General features: G+C 52.2%; 1 protein-coding gene and 1 long non-coding RNA gene across 4 annotated transcripts, besides 2 other annotated features; one reads left to right on the top strand and one right to left on the bottom strand.

Annotated features, from left to right (window-relative positions):
- Positions 1-2,686: 2,686 nt before the first annotated feature.
- On the top strand, positions 2,687-12,017 carry MLN (motilin). Of its 3 annotated transcripts, none has more exons than NM_001184698.2 (5): positions 2,687-2,737; positions 5,520-5,643; positions 7,469-7,585; positions 11,085-11,166; positions 11,855-12,017. In NM_001184698.2, the coding sequence occupies exons 2-5, from the start codon at positions 5,527-5,529 to the stop codon at positions 11,863-11,865; spliced, it is 327 nt and encodes a 108-aa protein (NP_001171627.1). In that variant the 5' UTR covers positions 2,687-2,737; positions 5,520-5,526; the 3' UTR covers positions 11,866-12,017. The 3 variants fall into 3 exon arrangements, with proteins under 3 accessions (NP_001171627.1, NP_001035198.1, NP_002409.1); NM_001040109.2 differs by having other exon boundaries at positions 11,085-11,187; positions 11,858-12,017; NM_002418.3 differs by having other exon boundaries at positions 11,085-11,187.
- LOC105375024 (uncharacterized) lies at positions 3,664-17,312 on the bottom strand. The gene is made up of 3 exons (XR_926707.3): positions 13,535-17,312; positions 4,783-5,223; positions 3,664-4,211 (listed from the first exon to the last, which is right to left on the bottom strand). It is a non-coding gene; the product is annotated as an uncharacterized LOC105375024 (long non-coding RNA).
- Positions 15,531-16,134: an enhancer, noted in NCBI's record as "H3K4me1 hESC enhancer chr6:33758333-33758936 (GRCh37/hg19 assembly coordinates)". NCBI's record gives its function as "activates a minimal SCP1, AML or CMV promoter by ChIP-STARR-seq in naive H9 embryonic stem cells {active_cell/tissue: H9 hESC(naive)}" and the evidence as "EXISTENCE:reporter gene assay evidence [ECO:0000049][PMID:30033119]".
- Positions 17,345-17,434: an enhancer, noted in NCBI's record as "active region_24369". NCBI's record gives its function as "activates an Ori minimal core promoter by ATAC-STARR-seq in GM12878 lymphoblastoid cells {active_cell/tissue: GM12878}" and the evidence as "EXISTENCE:reporter gene assay evidence [ECO:0000049][PMID:35858748]".

The following is a 17,496-nucleotide window of genomic DNA, read 5'->3' as shown; positions in this document are numbered from 1 at the left end:
TTCTGAAGCCAGACTCCCTGAGTTTGAATCCTGGCCTGGCCATTTGAATAGCTGTGTGACCTTGGGTCCGTTGTTCCACCTCAGTTTCCCCACATGTAAGTTGGGATAATAACCACATGAACCTCAGGGCTGTTGTAAGGTTTTAAAAAGCAGATACGTGTAACATCTGGCTGTTATTTATCACATGCTCCAGACACTGTTGAGGTCAGGACCAGCAAACGTTTTCCATAAAGGTCCACACAACAAATATGTTCAGCTTTGTAAGCCATAGGTCTCTGCTACAGCTACTTAAACTCTGCTGTTACAGCCCCAAAGCAGCCATAGGTAACCCAGAAATGAATGAGTGGACCTGTTCCAATAAAACTGTATTTATGAACATGGAAATTAAATTTGCATGTCACTAAATATTCTTTTGATATTTTAATTATTAAAAATATAAAAACAGTTTTTAGCTCACAGACTATAAAAAGAAGTGGCAGGCCGGTTTGGCCCATTTTGCCTGTCCTGGTCTAGGTGCTAGAGATGCAGGTGTGATGTGTCCCATCACAGCAGCCCGTGCTTATGGATGGAGCTCCCCAGAGCATCCCAGAGCTTGAGAAGCTGATAGACTACTTCCCAACTCTCAAGGGACTACTTTGCCCCCACCAAGGTCTGTGACCTTGTCTTTCGGTTTGGTTTTGTTTTTTTTTTCAGACACAGGGTCTCACTCTGTTTCCCAGGAGTGCAGTGGCATGATCATGGCTCACTCTATCCTCCATCTCCCAGGCTCAAATGATCCTCCCACTTCAGCCTGCCGAGTAGCTGAGACCACAGCGCATGCCATCATATCTAGCTAATTGTTTTTATTTTTTGCAGAGATGAGGTCTTGCTATGTTTCCCAAGTTGGTCTTGAACTCCTGGGCCTTAAGCAATCCTCCTGCCTCAGCCTCCCAAAAGCTGGGATTACAGGTGTGAGCCACCTTGCCCAGCCTAGCGACCTCTTCCCAAAAGCCCCTCTTGAAACAGGGACAGTCAGACTCCAATGAGGCCCAAGGTTAAGGGATGGTAACTCTGCTGCAAACCCCCGGCATTTGGAGCTTTAATTCCTGATGTAAGTCTCAGACTTCAGAGCCACACTGCACATCTCACAACAGCCGCTGGTCCAGTGTGCTGGAGTTCTAATGTGGGTGCTGTACACAGAGACCCTGCTGGCAGGAAGCGAGGACACTGAGCTGCCATCTGTTTTCATTAAGCCTTGCTGAGTAGGGAAGGTAGAAATTATCTGTGTTGGGTTTGAAGCACTGCAAACATTTGTTTCTGAGTGGAAGGGCCAGAGCAGACCCAAGGACTGGCTAGGCAGGGTCTCCTGGGCAAGAAATAGTGCCCCTCTGGATGTGTGAGGCAGCGTCTGGATGTGTGGGGAAGGTGCTACTGGCCAACGTATGTCGCCTGGGAAAATGGCCACTGCCCACCCAGACCCTCGGGATTCCACACCCAGACTGTACCCCACCTCAGCCTCTGCCTGGTCCATGACCGGTACCCAGAAAACTAGACATCTTCCAGAGTGATGTTTTTGCCCTAACATCCCCTTCAAGGTATCATGAAGATGCCCAATATTCCATTTCCTCCATCAAATCTAAATCCTTCTGCTTGGTTGCTAAGGGTCCCCACACTCAGACCCGACTGAGCGGCTCCCAGCCCACACAGGGGACCTCCTGTGACACCATTCTAAGCCTGTGTGTGCCCCAAATCTCCAGAAGCCCTCACTCCTGCCCTCTGCTGCACCTGGCCACGTCTGGCCTTCACCCTAGTATAAAGACACCTTGCAGAGGAGTCACAGATGAGCTATTTAGCAGTGCCTCCGTTTCCTTATCTATTGAATGGGGGAAATAAATGCACCCACCTCACGGGGTTGCTGCGTTTAATCAGAACGTTCGTGCTCAGCATTTCCTGGGTAATGCTGCGCTCTGGAATTGGCCCCGCCCAGCCCCAGCAACAGCGAGCCAGGTCTGACTCCAGATCACATTCACCTCTTCCCTCTTCCCTCTTTGAATCTTTACACATACTGTTTGAATTGCATGATTACCATGAAACATTGTCCAGGTAGGTGTCTTTCTCCCCGTTTAGGCTGCAGCGTGCAGACCTCCTACACTGTCACCCCTCTGCATTTCCTCGGTTCCTTCGCGGCATCTGGCCCCACACAGCCTTGGGTCTGGACTCAGTAGTTTTATTTTCATTAATCCACTGAAATGCTGTCACAAACTCCTGAACACTTTCTTTCATGAGGGGCTTCAGGGGGAAGACTGAAGAGAAGTTATCTTTCTAATACAGCGCTCTGACAGGCCGACAGAAAATCTGATCACTAGAGCATTGGCCTGCAGACGCTCACCAATGTCATATATTTAAGGAACAAAAAAAGAAAAGGCTTTGTTAAAATGACCTCTGAGAGGCAGCTGAGTTTTCAGTGGACGGGAGAATGCCATCTGGGTGGGGGCTAGCTTCCACCGAACCCTGACTGTCGCTGTTCCTTCCAGGAAAGCCCTGGAAGCCCATAGCGTGGCTAGCCCTGCCTGGAGTTTCCACGAGCTTCAAGAATCCAGGCTCCCCCTCTGAGGGCCCCCAAAGCTGTGGTCAAAGGTTAATGGGCTCCAAGGGCAGCTCCCAGGGTTGGGAGGTATATAAGAACCCGTCAGATCAGCCGGACACCAGAAGACAAGCAGAGAGACTCCTCCAGACCCACTCAGACCACGTGCACGCCGTAAGTAGCCCTTGGAGAAAGTGGGTGGGGAGTGGTCAGCATAAGCCCTAAAGCAGAACGCTGGTGCAAGCCAGAGCCAGCCTGGTCCAGGGCCCTCTGCCACCTTCCAGTGCCCAGCCGGGCTTCGCACTGAGTGCCCGCGCTGATTCCCAGGGCATCAGTGAGCAGAGGCAGGGCTGAGGCACAGACGCTGGAGGCAAGCAGGTGGGTACAACTCCTGGCAAAGCAGAGGCTGTTGTGGGTGGGTCTGGCACATCCACGGTGGGCCGGGAACCCAAGCCAGAGCTCATCATGGGCGCAGGGCCCCTCTTGGCATGGTGGCTTTGCTCTGGAAAGGTAAGAAAAATTTGGCCCTGCAGTGGCTCATGCCTGTAATCCCAGCATTTTGGGAGACTGAGGTGGGCGGATCACAAGGTCAGGAGTTTGAGACCAGCCAGGCCAATATGGTGACACCCTGTCTCTACTAAAAATACAAAAATTAGCCATGCGAGGTGGCACATGCCTGTAGTCCCAGCTACTCAGGAAGCTGAGGCAGAAGAATCGCTTGAACCTGGGAGGCAGAGGTTGCAGTGAGCCGAGATCGCGCCACTGCACTCTAGCCTGGGAGACAGAGCGAGACTCCATCTCAGAAAAAAAAAAAAAAAAGAAGAAAAGAAAAGGAAAAGAAAAAGTTGACCCCGAGGGAGAGCACATGGGGAGGCAAGGCTAGCCCGGCCAGGGGTGCTGCAAGGGAGGGCAGACGGTCACCCCCTTCATGCAGAGCTGGACACTTGAAGGTTGAAGCCCCCCATCTCTGATGATGGGAAAGGAAAGTTAGTGCCTCACTGTACAATGAAAAGCTCCTTCTCCCACCTCCAGCTCACCAGAACACACATGAACGTAGGTGACATGCCGACTGCCAGTTGGATCAAGAAAATGAGAAGCAATTGGATTTTGCCTTTTTTTTAATTTAAAGTTTTTATTGATTCCTATGGAGTGAATTAAATACACCAGAATGAAACAGGATCTATAGCCTCTCTGTGAAGGAAATGGGATGCCATAAATGTGACACATCCGTCTCTGCTGGGGGGAAAAGCAGGCCCCAGAGACTCTTCAGGGAACGCGCAGGAATGAGAAGGGAAGAACAGTGATGGGTCCCACCCACCTCAACCCATTCTCCGTTCAGCTCAAGCTCCTCTGGGGCTGCACACAAGGCCTCGGCTTCCTGGGAGGTGGTCTTGGGTGGGCGGGTGGTCCTTTCAGCCTGCTGGGAATTTGCATACAGCTGGGATGGGGAGGCTTTCGCTGTCTGAGCTCTGTTGTTCTTGTTCATGGAGTTTGAACAAAATGGAGAGAAAATAGGAAGTGGGAAGAAGAGAGAGCTGGAATAGCAAGAAGGCAGAGGGAGCGTCTGGCGTGGTAGGGTGGTTTCAGATGACTGAGGAGACAGGTCTTGGCTGAGAGGCAGGATGCAAGCCTGCAGCCTTGGAAGGTTCTGTTCAAAGGGGGAGCCAGGTTGAGACCTGCAGAGAAGCCCCGAGGCCTTTCCAGGGCAGACCCTCTCCTGCCGACAGAATCCAGGCTGCCTGGGGACTGGAGGAGCGCTTTATCTGAAACCTTGTAACTACCTCCACCCCTACCCCTACTGCTGGAGGGGCTGTCCCGGCCTCCCCTCCCTGCTTGGAGGCCTGGCCCCTGCACTCAGCAGTCCACCCAGCGCAGGAACAGTGGTGCCCAAGATGCATTCAACAGGCCTGCCCCCTGTGCCTTCCTCTGCCTACTATGGGCAGAGGCAACGTAGAGTGGGGTATTGGGAAAAGCACTGGGCCTCAAAAGGCCAAGGTTCCAGCCCCTGCTGCCTTTGAATGAGTCAACCTTGGCTGGCACTCAGCTAGGCCATCCCACCCCCACCCCAGGACCACCCTGTCCCTGCCCAAAGTCTGCCCAGTGGACCCTTTCTCAAGGCTCTGCACCCCTGCAGTCACCATGCCTACCTGCTCCCTGCCAGGACCCGAGCTCCAAAAGCCCACTAAAGCCCAATGTCCTACCAGCCATTCCACACATACCTGCTTCCTGGTCAGCAATCACTGGGTTCCAGGGTGTGAGGAAAGAGGAAGCCTGCTCCCTGCTGTTTCAGGATGGTGGCCAAAGGCAGCTAGATGCACTGGAGCACGGGGCGGGGGGCTTGTTCCCAAGCCATCGCTCCCCCAACGGGGAAGGGGGTGCCCTCTTGGCTCAGGGATACAGCTCCATGCTGAATTTTTCCATCTGGCTCATCCTTTGCAATGGCAGAGGCTCTACAGACCCAGGGTCCTGGCCTGGCACTTCCAGGCAGAGCCCTGGTCATCTGGGCTTGGGTCCACCCCTTTTGTCATTCTAATAGGCACTGGGGCAGGGAGGTCTCTCTGGGTCTTGGGGCACAGTTCTGTTGATAATCTAGGCATTCCTTCTCTGAAAGATGAGGTCCCTCCTGCCTTATGAGTCCAGCTGACCCCAGAAGACCTTACCTGTAACAAAAGAGAAGGGTGGACAAGTGAAATGATTCCTCCCTGGTGTGTGGCAGGGAGCTGGATGGCCTTTCCCAGGAGCTTGGCCAGCTGCCACAGCTCTGGGGCAGAAAGGTGCTCAGAGCTCATCTGCTCAAGCTCTGATACCAGGCCCAAATCCAGACAGGCTGAGCTTTGGCTGAAGATCACACAGCTAGAGGTAGGGCATGGGCCAGAACTGAGGGCCCCTGCCTCGGACACAGCAGTCTGCCACTGTACCCCAAACTTAGTGACAAGAGCTCCTTGTCATTGTCCAGCTCCAAGATGGTATCCCGTAAGGCTGTGGCTGCTCTGCTGGTGGTGCATGTAGCTGCCATGCTGGCCTCCCAGACGGAAGCCTTCGTCCCCATCTTCACCTATGGCGAACTCCAGAGGATGCAGGTAAGAACCCCCTGCTGCCTGCCCTGCTAGCAAGGCTGAGGTCACTATGACCTATGCCGGTGATACCAAGGAAAGTGTAAAGGACCAGGACCCAAGATAACCCCCAGTTCCAGCCACCTCTCTGGCCACCTTCACGCCTTCACTGGCATCACTCAGATATGTCAGTGGCTCGTATGAGCAACATCTTTCCCACCCCTGCCTATCCTTTGGAGGAAATTTTAAATTAACAAGCCAATAAATATTTACCGAGCTGCTCTGCAGTACAAGAGGCCACCCTGGGCGATGAGCCCGAGCATGCAGAAGAATCTCAGCACCTCCCCATCTCCAGGGAGAAGGCTGGGGTGCCAAGATACGAACATATGAAAAATTAACTAACAGTCGAAGACAAAAGAGAGATGTCACAGGCAGGACATGATGAATTGCCCCATCAGTGGTGCTGATGCTAAGTGCTCAGGTTCAAGGAAGGAGAATCACCAAGGGCTGGAGCGTGCTTGGAAGCCTGCAGGGAAAAGGTGGAACTCAGCTGGGGGCCTTGAGAGATCAAGAGCGAGGGACCAATGGGAGCCAGCGCCCAGAGGCGGGAAACAAGGCTGCGGTCCATGTAGCAGTGGCCAAAGCCTCCTCTTTAGGGCCCAGAAGAAAAAAAGGCAGGCCTCATGGAACTCAGGCAGTGGAGCCTAAGGAAAATGGAACTGCTGGCTCTGCCTCCCTGCTGCCTTTTACTTTAGACTTCAGGGGACGCTGAGTATCTATGCAGATGTTTGGTTCCCTTTAACCTAAGGAGATGAAGAAAGGGACTTTCATGCTCCACCCTGTCTGAAACTGAGACTCCAATAGGGATGAATACATGAGTTAGTGCCCAGGGAGGTCTCGAGGCTCTGGGGCACAGCCTGTCTGCAACTGCCCACTTTATGTGGGGAGGTGTGTGGGGATCCACATTCCCAGTGAACAGGGCTCTTTTTAGAGGCAAGGCTGAATCCAGCTCCCCTTCTGCAAGCAGACATGGGAACTGGGTAGGTACTGCAGCAGGCCCCAACACACTTTCCTCCACGCCAGCACACTCCCCACAGGATGACTGTTTGTTCTAGAATCACCACGTCTCAGGGCAGGCCAACAGCAGAGTCCCAAGAGTGTCATTAGAGAAAGCAAAGGAATGAGGATCTCAGTGCTCAGGGACCTGGCCAGCAGCATGCCGGGCAAGACTGGGGGCTGGACAGGAACAGTCAAACCCAATGGAACATAAACTAGCAAAATAGCAAGCAAAGGACACTGCATTAATCTGCTCCATGGCTTTTCTCCTCATAATTGCCAGGCACCAGGATTTTTATGAAGAAGCTACAAACTCCCTCCTCCATAATTTATCTCTTGTCTTGCCTCTTATAAATCACCTCCCAGGGACTCTGAGTTCCCGGGCCACCCCATGGCACCCTCCCAGGCTAGGCTGTCTCACTACCTTTTTTATAGGCTCTCTGCTAAGAAAGACACATTTTCACACTTAATATGCATGAAGGGCAGGCATTATTTTCAGCTTTTTAAGTTAATTAACAGTAACAATCTGGGTGCAATGTTTTAACTACAAAGGAATGGATTCCTCTTCAAGTTGACCTTGAAGAGCAAGGCCCTTGGTGGGCAACCTCAAGGGACATCCATGAGCCACTAGTTAGTATCTGAGATTCCTCGTGCAGGAGGCTCCTGGAGGAAAGGGTTCTTTCAGTCTGTAGGGAGCTCAGGGCAGACAGCACCCTGGGCAGATGGAGACAGGCAAGGGGCCATCAGCGTGGGTTGAGGGAGGGCGGTTTTGTGCAATTTTCTGTTCTGCCCCTAGGAAAAGGAACGGAATAAAGGGCAAAAGAAATCCCTGAGTGTATGGCAGAGGTCTGGGGAGGAAGGTCCTGTAGACCCTGCGGAGCCCATCAGGGAAGAAGAAAACGAAATGATCAAGGTGAGCAGACAACTGGGACAAAGGAGAGAAACTCAGAGCAGGGCATGCATTCCCCTGCCTGGCCTGGAGGCAGAGCCCACAAGCCACAGTGAGCCTCAGAGTGTCCTAGGATATCGCAGTGAGCAAGACATCCAGGCAATGAGCTCCATCCTCGTAGGGAGAGACGGACTCCAGCAACGAGATAAATCAACCATTTCAGGCACCAGATAAGGAAGTAGGAGAGTGACTGAGTGGGGTTTGGGAGACTGCTTTGTCCCTGAGACGGGTCAGGGAAGGCCTCTTGGAGGAGGTGACATTTGATTTGAAACCTGAATGAAGGGAAGGAGCCACCTGTGCAAACAGCTGGAGCAAGGGCCTCCCGGGAGAAGGAACAGTGAGTGCAAAGACTGAGGAACACCGGTGGGCGACAGGCCCTTGTGGCAGGGGTTAGTCGAGTGGGCGAGAGGTCAGCATGGCCAGCCCAGGCAGGGCCTGCATGCAGCGCCACTGGGGATTCAAAGCAGGGAAGCCACCGGAGCCCTCTTAGAGCTGGGGCAGCATGAGTGGAGGCAAGAAGCCAGGCAGGAGGCGCTACAGTCTTCGGCAAAGAGGTGGCGAGGGTGCCAATTCCTCCCCTCCCAGACAGAAACCCAGGAGCCAGCCACAGGCCTCAACACCCAGGGCCGATTGTTGGGGCTGGGGAGAACCTTGAGCTTGTCCCATGAGCTCTTTTATTTCACAGACTCGTTTATTTGGGTGATCAATAAATGAACCCCTACTAGGTCTGAGGCACTGTTCCAGGCACTGGGGACAGGGTAGTGAACAGACAAAATCTCTGCCCTTGTGGAACTCACACTCCATAGGAAAGAAGAAACAAGATCCTAGGACGACTGAAACAGACCACAAACAAGGTAAAGACAGGAAGCAAACTCAGCAGTGTGGCAGGCAATGACATGTGCTATGGAGGGAAACAGAGCCGCAAGGAGACGCGGTGGGTTATGGATCTCAGTGGGCGACAGCAGGTGTCCTAGGAGACGGTAGCAGCACAAAGACCAGAAGAGAGCAAGGCATGAACCACAAGGATTTCTGGGGGAAGAGCCTTCCAGGTGGAAGCAACAGCCAGTGCCAAGGTCCTGAAGCAGGAGAGGGCCTGGTGCATTCAGGAAGAGTGAGGAGGCCAGAGAGACTGGTAGAGGGGTAGGGGCAGACTGTGGACTTCACAGGCCACTGGACTCTCCATTCATTCTGCTGAAGTGGAGCCTTGGGGGTTTTGAGCAGAGGAGGGATGGGATCTGATTTACATTTTAAAGGGGTCTCTCCAGCTGCTGAGAACAGACTGAAGGGACCGGACAAAGGCAGATTTAGGGAGGCCACTGAGGAGGCTGCTATAGTCTAAGAGAGACAGAGAAAAAGAGAGAGAGAGAGTTCGGCCTCGGGCGGTCTTGGAGGAGGCAGGGCAAGGAGGTTGGATTTTTAAAATATTTTGGAGGTAGAAGCCCACAGGATTTGCTAAAGAATGGATATAGGATGTAAAGAAAAAGTGAAAATTGACTTCAAGGGTTTGGGCCAGAACAACTGAAAGACGGATTTGCCACTCATGGAGACAGAGTAGCCTGTGGTTGGCTGCAGGATGGCAGGAGGAAGATCAGGGAGTCAGATCGGGCCTGAAAACCGAGATGCTCTTGGGCATCCAGGCAGAGACATTGCCCAGGCAGGTGGACACACAAGTTTGGAGTTCAGAAGAGAGGTGAGGGCTGGAGGCTCACATGTAGGAGTCATCCGTGGTTAGAGGGAATTTCAAGCTAGGCCTGGGTGAGCCATTTGAGGGGACAGGTGTGGATGGAAAAGAAGAGGCCCAGACCTGAGTGTGGGTCGCTACCACATAAAGGGGCCTGAGGGGCGAGAAGACTGACATCCAGAGAGAGCAGGGGCCTTGTCACGGTCACACAGGAGTCAGGGCAGAACCCAGCTGGACTCCCACCTCCCACTGGACACAGGCCAGTGATCTTTCCCGGTGCTGTTGGGCCCAGAAAACAACCTGGGTGCTGTTGCCGCACTCTGCACTCAGCGAGGTGGGGCCCCTTTCCCCCCATATCCACTCCGAACTCCCTGGGCTCCTGAGGAGGGAGCTGGGAGGGAATCCAGCAGCTGGTGAGCAGGGAGCACACTCAGAATCACCTCCTAAATGCAGCTGAGTCGGAGTTTGAGGCACTAACTCCAAGGTTGCCCGGGGACATTGTATGTCCATGAAGCCTTCTTGGGGAGGCTTGGGTGGGGCACCTCTCACCTCTTTCCATCTCCTACAACCACAACATACAGAGCTGAGAGGGCCCTTTGGGATTGTCCAGTCCAGCCTCCTTGTGTTAAGTAAGGACCCTGCTGGAGGGTCTAGAGGGAGAGGCATAACCACAGCTGGGAACGGCACAGGCAGAACTGGACTGGGGCCCTTCAGATGCCCTTCAGGCACCCTGAGCCCCCAAGCGTCTAGGAGGCCCATTCCTGGAACCCAGGGAGCCCGGTGGGAGGCAGGGGAGCAGGTGCTGGGACTCCTCCAGGGCAACTCTCCCGAGAGGCCAGGAGTCTCCCAGTCTGCTGGCTAGTTTGTGCAGCAAGAGCATTGATCCAGGAAGCTCTGCGGAGCGGGGACGGGGAGATCAATCAGCGCCCTAGGCTCTGCCTCAAGGCTGCAACTACCTCTTTGGTGGAGAGTCTCCAGACAACAAGAGGAAAGGTAGCCTGGTGGTTGTGGGCACAGACCCTGGAGCCAGGCCCCTTGGGTGTACCGTCTTCTTCCTCTGCTCCTTACCATCTGTGCGGCCTTGAGCAAGTTACTCAATCTCATTGTCCTCAGTTTCCTCATCTGCAAAATGGGAACACTAACCATCCCTACCCCACAGAGCTATTGAGAGGTTAACATACATAAAGCACTTAGAATAAGTGTAAAGCTTAGAATACTGGCTAACACGGTGAAACCCCGTCTCTACTAAAAATACAAAAAATTAGCCGGGCGTGGTAGCGGGCGCCTGTAGTCCCAGCTACTTGGGAGGCTGAGGCAGGAGAATGGCGTGAACCCGGGAGGCGGAGCTTGCAGTGAGCCGAGATCGCGCCACTGCACTCCAGCCTGGGCGACAGAGCAAGACTCCGTCTCAAAAAAAAAAAAAAAAAAGCTTAGAATAAGGGTAAGACTCCACAATGTTGGCTATAATTGTTGAGGTGGGAGTGAATTCCCTCCCCATGAGAAAAGCCTGCTGGGGTTCCTGCTGACCCCACCCCTCCTGTCCCAGCTTCCCCGTTATGGAAGGTGTATTGATCCCCTCAGCAGGACTCAGTGACCTTCAGGATCCAGCCCTCTGGTTAGAATTAGGGGAAGGTGGCAGAATTCCCAGCCATCCCTAGAGGCTCTAGTGGGGTCTGCAGGGTGGTGTGGCTCCCAAGGGTCCCTCCTGCCACCTGTAGTGCACCCAGGGGTTAAGGGCCCTCTCCACCTCTCCCTCGTTGTTAACGCTGCCTTATTTCACAGCTGACTGCTCCTCTGGAAATTGGAATGAGGATGAACTCCAGACAGCTGGAAAAGTACCCGGCCACCCTGGAAGGGCTGCTGAGTGAGATGCTTCCCCAGCATGGTACGGGGAGGGCGGGCATCTCTGTGGCTTGGCCGGCCTCCGCCCACCCTGGCGTTAATACTCCAGAGGCAGGGTTTCAGGGTGGCAATTTGTTTGGCTGCTTTGCACTTGAGAATGTGGAGCCGTCTTCTCCCTGGGCTATGCTGTGATACCTGCTGGTGGCTGCAGCAGTTCTCCAGGGAGGCGGGTCTCAGGCTGGGTTCCCAGCTACCCACCCCACTCCCCTGCTCCAGATATTTTCATTCCCTTCCACAACATCACCACAGGGTGGCTGCTCCGAAGGGAACCTTGGTGAGGCTTTCCCTTCCCCCATTCATTCTGCAGATTAAAGTCCTGAGCCCCATTTGGCCTTGCCCAGTTCAAGGTCTGCCCGAGTTACCTGAGCAAAGCTACATCTCCTCTGACAAACAGCCACTAATTACTTCTCATAGTCCCCAGGAGGAGAGGAGAGACTCGAGGAAGTGCTGTTAGTGATGGAGAAACTGGGAGGTTAAATGACTTGCCCCAGGCTACAGACAGCTTGCAGGCTCCTTGCAAAACTTCCCACCTTCCCGCCCAGCCTGCCCTTGTGCCCCCTCCTCCCTCCGACCTGCAGGCAAGTTTTAGAGGGCAGTTTCATAAGCAGACCTGATGATGGTACTGAGCGCAAACCTCTGCTTTTCTCCAGCAGCCAAGTGATGGCCACGCTGGGGAGAAGGTGGACAGATTTGGGAGGCCCCTCCTGCCCAAGTGAGGCCCTGGGAATTTACAGAGCCTGCCAGCTGGGCTTGGAAGGAAAACACCCTTTCCAAAGCAAATTCCCCTCCAGCAAATAAAGCATGAAATATACAGAAATGACTCTTATTTAATATTTTAATTCCCAAAGGGCAAACTCAGGTCGCAAGAAAAAGGGGGGGAAAGTAAAGCTCAGAGAAAGTTGGCCATAAATGATGCTTACATTAGCATTGTGTGCCTTTTGTGAGGTCTAAGTTCAAATATTAACTCAGATCCAAATAAGTGGAAGAGTACCACTGGCCCTTCCATTATAGGTGAGGAAACTGATCATTTTTTGCCCACACACTGAGTCAGTGACAGAGTGAGGACTGGAATTCAGGTCTCCCGGGTCTCGGTCCATTTCTAGTTTACTGACTAGCTCAAGGTCTAACGGGCCAGAGAATTTTAGGGCCTCCGCACTCAACCCCTTGCCAAGTAACTTCCAACCAGCCCTTTAACCTCAATGAGCCTGTGCAAAACCAAGGTGGTAATATCTGCCTCGAGATCTGGGATGGAGGCACAAGCAAAGAGCAAATTACTATTAGCACCTTGTGACTACCAACTCCAGCATCCGCAGCAAAATTACACAGCCAACCCACTTATTTCTGCCTTCTAAACAAAACTGGATGGGAAATTTCATTCCAATTTAATTTTACATTAATGAATGTTCATGTATTTATAAACTGGGGCCACACTGGAACTGCAGCTCCCTCCATCCATAGGTTACCAGCAATTAGATACAGTGTCCATTCTGCATTTCCACCCAGGCTTAGCCACAGAAAGTAGTTACCAGAACAAGAACTCCACTGCTGAACAAGGCACCCTCATTTGAGGTACTCTGAATTCTCCTGAGAAACACTCAAACCATCCATGGGCTCCCACCCCCGCCACGCTGAACATTCACACGCATTTCCAGCACATATACCGATGAGCCCCAGAGCAGGTGCAGGTTCCCGGGAAATGCTGCCAAGATGCCCGGTAATAGAGAGAGAGGGCTGCAGCAGAAGGGCATGCGGGGGGCAGCGGGGGAGACACAGAAATCTATAAAGCCTGCTGCTGGGAAGATCTGGATCCAAGGCTCCTCCTTGCCCTTCCGAGCTCCACCACGCCAGTTCACCCCATTTTCTGTAACACACTCCAAGAAGCAGAGAAACGAGATGCTCACGGTGGTCCCTTTCCCCGTGGAAAACGCATTTTGTGTCCTTCCCTCACCCTCTGCTGGAATCTGCCTCTGTAGGGAGACCGCCTTCCCCTATCACCAGAGGGGGTGCCCATTTCTGGGTTGGGGGGGAGCCCAGCACTGGCTGGGGAATTTTCCCTGAGATTCTGGGTGTTGAAGAGCCTCTCACTGAAATAGACACCCACCATGGAGGGACATGGGGCCCACAGGAGACTCTGCCCAGGAGGTCTGCACTGTTTAGGTGGGAATGGGTTCAGCAACTACAGCACTGGGGAAGGGAGAGGGTGCTGTCCATTCTGCAGAAAAGCCCCGTTCAAAGCTCAGCATTGCCGCCCGGCAGCCCCAACCCTCACCCCGCGGCCTCTGATGTGCTTCTCAGTAATGAGCCGCAACAGGGACCCAGCTACCACCTACATCTGTATGCACAGTGCCCTGGCTGCTTGTTTAGATGTGTCGGCTCCTTTCTTCTCTCGTTTTCCTCCTCCTGCCACTGTTCGATTTCTCACAATTGGCTCAAATAATTCTTTTTTCACCAACAAGCTCCTCCAGTTTCCAGGACAGCCGACTTGATTGCTTATGGGATATCCACAGCTTTGGAAGAAATTAAAATTGGGAGGAGGTTGGGGAGGATTCTGTGAGCTGAGTGAAGAGAAAATGACTATGTTTTCACAAAACAGAAGAAAAGGAGACATGCTCCTGGTTAAAGCAATAGAATGAGTAGGACCAGAGACCAACCAGGATCAGAGACAGGGAGGGTAGCCAGAGTAACCAGGAGAGCAAAGATGCCATTCCTCTTCACATCTCACCCAGGCTTATCCAGCAACATCTGCAAGAATCTCTCCAGATATCTGGCAATTACAGAGAGGTACGGATTACCCCATGTTCATCTGGAATGTACTTTACACTTAACAGGACTACAGGTCATTACAGTGCAACTTGAACCTAGCTTCACAAAATGGAGATGATGAGGTATTTTCTTGGTAACCACATCGGTGTGATTTTAGCATTACTGCGCTATGTGGATTTGCCATGAAATTGAATAGTTAAAAGCAAAGAGTAATTGCCTGATATCTGTATGCTGTAATTTAGTGTAATCTAATCATGGACAAAGCCCAAAAGAAAATATTCTCAAAGCATTACATTTTTCTTCATACACAATTTGTTATTGACATTCGGTAATATATTCCATGCCTTTGAAGGAACTCTTACTCATGGATATCAAAGTGTGAGAGCAGTCAAAAGAGTGAGAGATTTGTTTAATTTTCAACAGATTATGAAATACCATTCTGGCATTTCTCTGTGACTCCATTTTCCCCCTTAGCTGATGCACCCTCAGACCTAGAGAGAGGAAAAGAGTGTCCTCCTCTTCCATAAGGCACTGAGATGGAGCAGTGAGAAGCTGGGTGTTCCTGGGTCATTCCAGTCAAAATATGAGCCCCACATGGCCCCCACTTTTCAACCACAATCTCCCGGTGCCCTGCCCCCACTGTAATGCCACCTATAATGTAGTTTGAAGGAAGCCCTGAATAGCTGAGGCAATACGTGAGGCCCTCCATGAGGTGGATCAAGGACGATTCCGTGGTCCCTGAGTATCTTTGAGGACCTGATAAATGTGTGCAGGGCTTTTTGCAGGAGGACGAAGAGAATGGAACCCACTAAAAGATTTATGGCTGTGATTATTATAAGGCTCTGCCAAGACAGAGAGAGGTCAACGGGACGGAAGGGAGTATGGCAGCCCCCCGGGAATCCAGAGCGTGCTCAGAGCAGCCCTTCACCTCTGATAAATGTGTGGATGTGGTTACTAAGTAGATTTAGATATTGGAGCTTGTTTTTCCTCTTCTGCCTTTAATACATCAGGAAGACTGACCACAGCCTAAGCTGCTGCTCACCTTAAAAAAAAAACCCACAGCAAAGTGATGAGAAAGGAGGGCATGCAGAGCAGCCTCTGACTTTGCAATATTGCCCTTTTCTTTACAATAAGCCTTCCTGCCATGGACAGGCCCAGCAGGAGAGCCAGGCTGAAGGCACAGAAAGGCTGGCTGCCAGAAGCCCTGGCAGGTTTCGTGGGTAGCTCCCGAAGGGGCAGCAGTGGCAAAGAAGAGCTGAGGTCGAGCCCTTCCAAGTGGAGGGCAGCATGTGGATGGTTGTGTGGAGGAAAGCAAAAAGCAACACGCCAACTTCACTAAACCAAAGAGGGGCTATAAATCTGGGCAGGAACGTGACTGGAGCTGGGAATTCAGGATGAAATGGAAAGGCCCAAAAACTGGGAGGAACGCCTGACTAACTTGTGAGGTTCCTTCTCAGAGGGGGTGGGGAAGGGGAGCATTGATCAGCAAATTTGCAGTTAAGTGGTCACTGGGTGCCCCTTGGTGCACATCCAAAGGCCTGCCTGTAAGATCCTGCAAGACAAGGCCATCCACAGCCAGAAGCCACAATGGAGGTAAAAGGGCTGACCATGGGTGGCCAAAGGCCACAACTCCAAGCACAGTGGGTTCTACACCACAGGGAAGACAACAGGGTTCTGGGGGAGGGGCTGTGGGCCACTTGACCCTACGTGTGTGGAGCGGCAGCAGTGTCCCCAAACACAAGGAAGCTGACAAAGCCCACATTGCGTGCCACCACTGGGGGTGGCTCCAGTTCAGTCCATATTTTTAAATCGCCCTGAGATCCATTGTTATAAAATAGACCATAACTCTGTGAAATGCTGTAACGATAACTTTGTTTAAGCATTAGTTTCAAGCCCTCTTAGAATACATGGGGCCAGTACTGATGCCGAAAGGCTCATTCTTTATATATTGAACCGCACAGCTGCAAGGAGTTGCACAAATGTTACCAACTCATTTGTCATGCAAACAGTGCTTCAGAAAGAAATAAAATACTATTATGTGGTATATGTGTTAGGCAATCACTATATCAAATTCATGGCATTCTGTGCAAACACATGCAGGGAAAAGGAAAACAACACTTGGTGAGAGAAATCACACCACATGGGAGCAGCTAAGTCAGGGGAGATGGGGAGGCTAACAGTGGAAGCTGACCAAGCCGAGGCTGTCATTTTCCCAGCAATTGTGGCCAGTGTTGAATACCCCTGAGGTGGAGCAAGTGGCAGGAATGCAAAACCCAGACAGAGGAGCATAGCATTGCCCAGGGTGTCAGGGAGGGGAGGGAATAAAGTGGGGAATGGGCAAGGGGGCTGTTGGGACAGATACGGGGCAGTTCCAGGGAGGAGGGGCCTGGGGGAAGGGGAGAATGGAATGGCAGGGGTAGAAATGGATGGAACCCATTGGGCCGGCAATAAATGTTTGGGAATGGGAGTTGAGGGATGTGGAAGGAAGATTATAAACTGGTTCTATTTCCAGTTGCCACATTCCCTTGCTTCCCTTAGGGGTTTCCTGCTAAGAGCCTTCATGTAACCAAATCACCTGCCCTGTGGGAGGCTCTACACAGCACTGACACTGCAAAGATGTGGGTTAAGTATAAACACGCATGAACGTGTGCCAGGCACTGTCCCAAGCACCTTAGCCAAACTACCTCTTCTAATCCTCACAGCAACTCTATTGAGGTTTACTGGCAAATAGGCTAACAATGTTAATTGAATATGATCACACATCTAATAGTTGTGAGTAGGGATTTGAAATCGAACTGTCTGGCTCCAAAGCCCACAACCTAAACCACCAGTGAGGCTGCAAGACCGTGTATCTCTGGAGTCTTCTCTCTCCCATGTCTCCTTGTAAAAATCCCATTACGCAGACACAGGCCCTCCGCAGAGAAGCCTCAACTGCCCATTCGAACCCAAGGGCATTTTGCTCCTCTGCCTCCACCATGGATGCTGCGTCTCCTCCAGGCTGGCGCTCCTTGGGGGCCAGTGTCTGTCCTAAGGCAGGGATCGCACCTACTTGGTGCTCAGTGTCGCCCAGTTAACAAGCCCGAAGTCGGGACAGGGTCTTGGAGCATGCCTGGAGTGTACTCTAAGACCCAAATAAAACCGGATCACACATCAGTCCCCAAGCCCAGAGAGGCAAATCATCCTGTCTCTCCATTCGTGGCAGTGGCTTCGTTCACCATTAAGCAATTCATCTATTAAATCAACGCTGACTTTACTGAACGCTTACCACCTGCCAGAGGCAGAGCTAGGGTTGGAGGACTCAGAGATTAATACCGCTTGATCTAACAAACAAAGGGAAGTGGGAGAGCGGAGAGAGAGAGAAAAACAAAACAAAACAAAACAAAACAAAAAATTTAATCCCCCTTGGACCTTCCCACCATGGCGGCTCTAAGAGCCACGTCAGACCGCCTCATCATGGCCGACCAAAGGCCAAGTGCAGACCTTCCCAACATGGCGACCGACCTTCCCATCATGGCGCGTGGCCCCGCCC

Source organism: Homo sapiens, chromosome 6 (assembly GCF_000001405.40).
Source record: "Homo sapiens chromosome 6, GRCh38.p14 Primary Assembly".
NCBI classification, from domain to species: domain Eukaryota; kingdom Metazoa; phylum Chordata; class Mammalia; order Primates; family Hominidae; genus Homo; species Homo sapiens.
Note: the sequence above shows the minus strand (reverse complement) of the source record. Positions and strands in the feature narration are given on the sequence as shown.

Coding starts and splice junctions, on each gene's coding strand:
- MLN (NM_002418.3), top strand. CDS start 5,527: ATGGTATCCCGTAAGGCTGTGGCTGCTCTGCTGGTGGTGCATGTAGCT. Junction 5,644..7,468: donor GCGAACTCCAGAGGATGCAG/GTAAGAACCCCC, acceptor TTCTGCCCCTAG/GAAAAGGAACGGAATAAAGG. Junction 7,586..11,084: donor AAGAAAACGAAATGATCAAG/GTGAGCAGACAA, acceptor CTTATTTCACAG/CTGACTGCTCCTCTGGAAAT.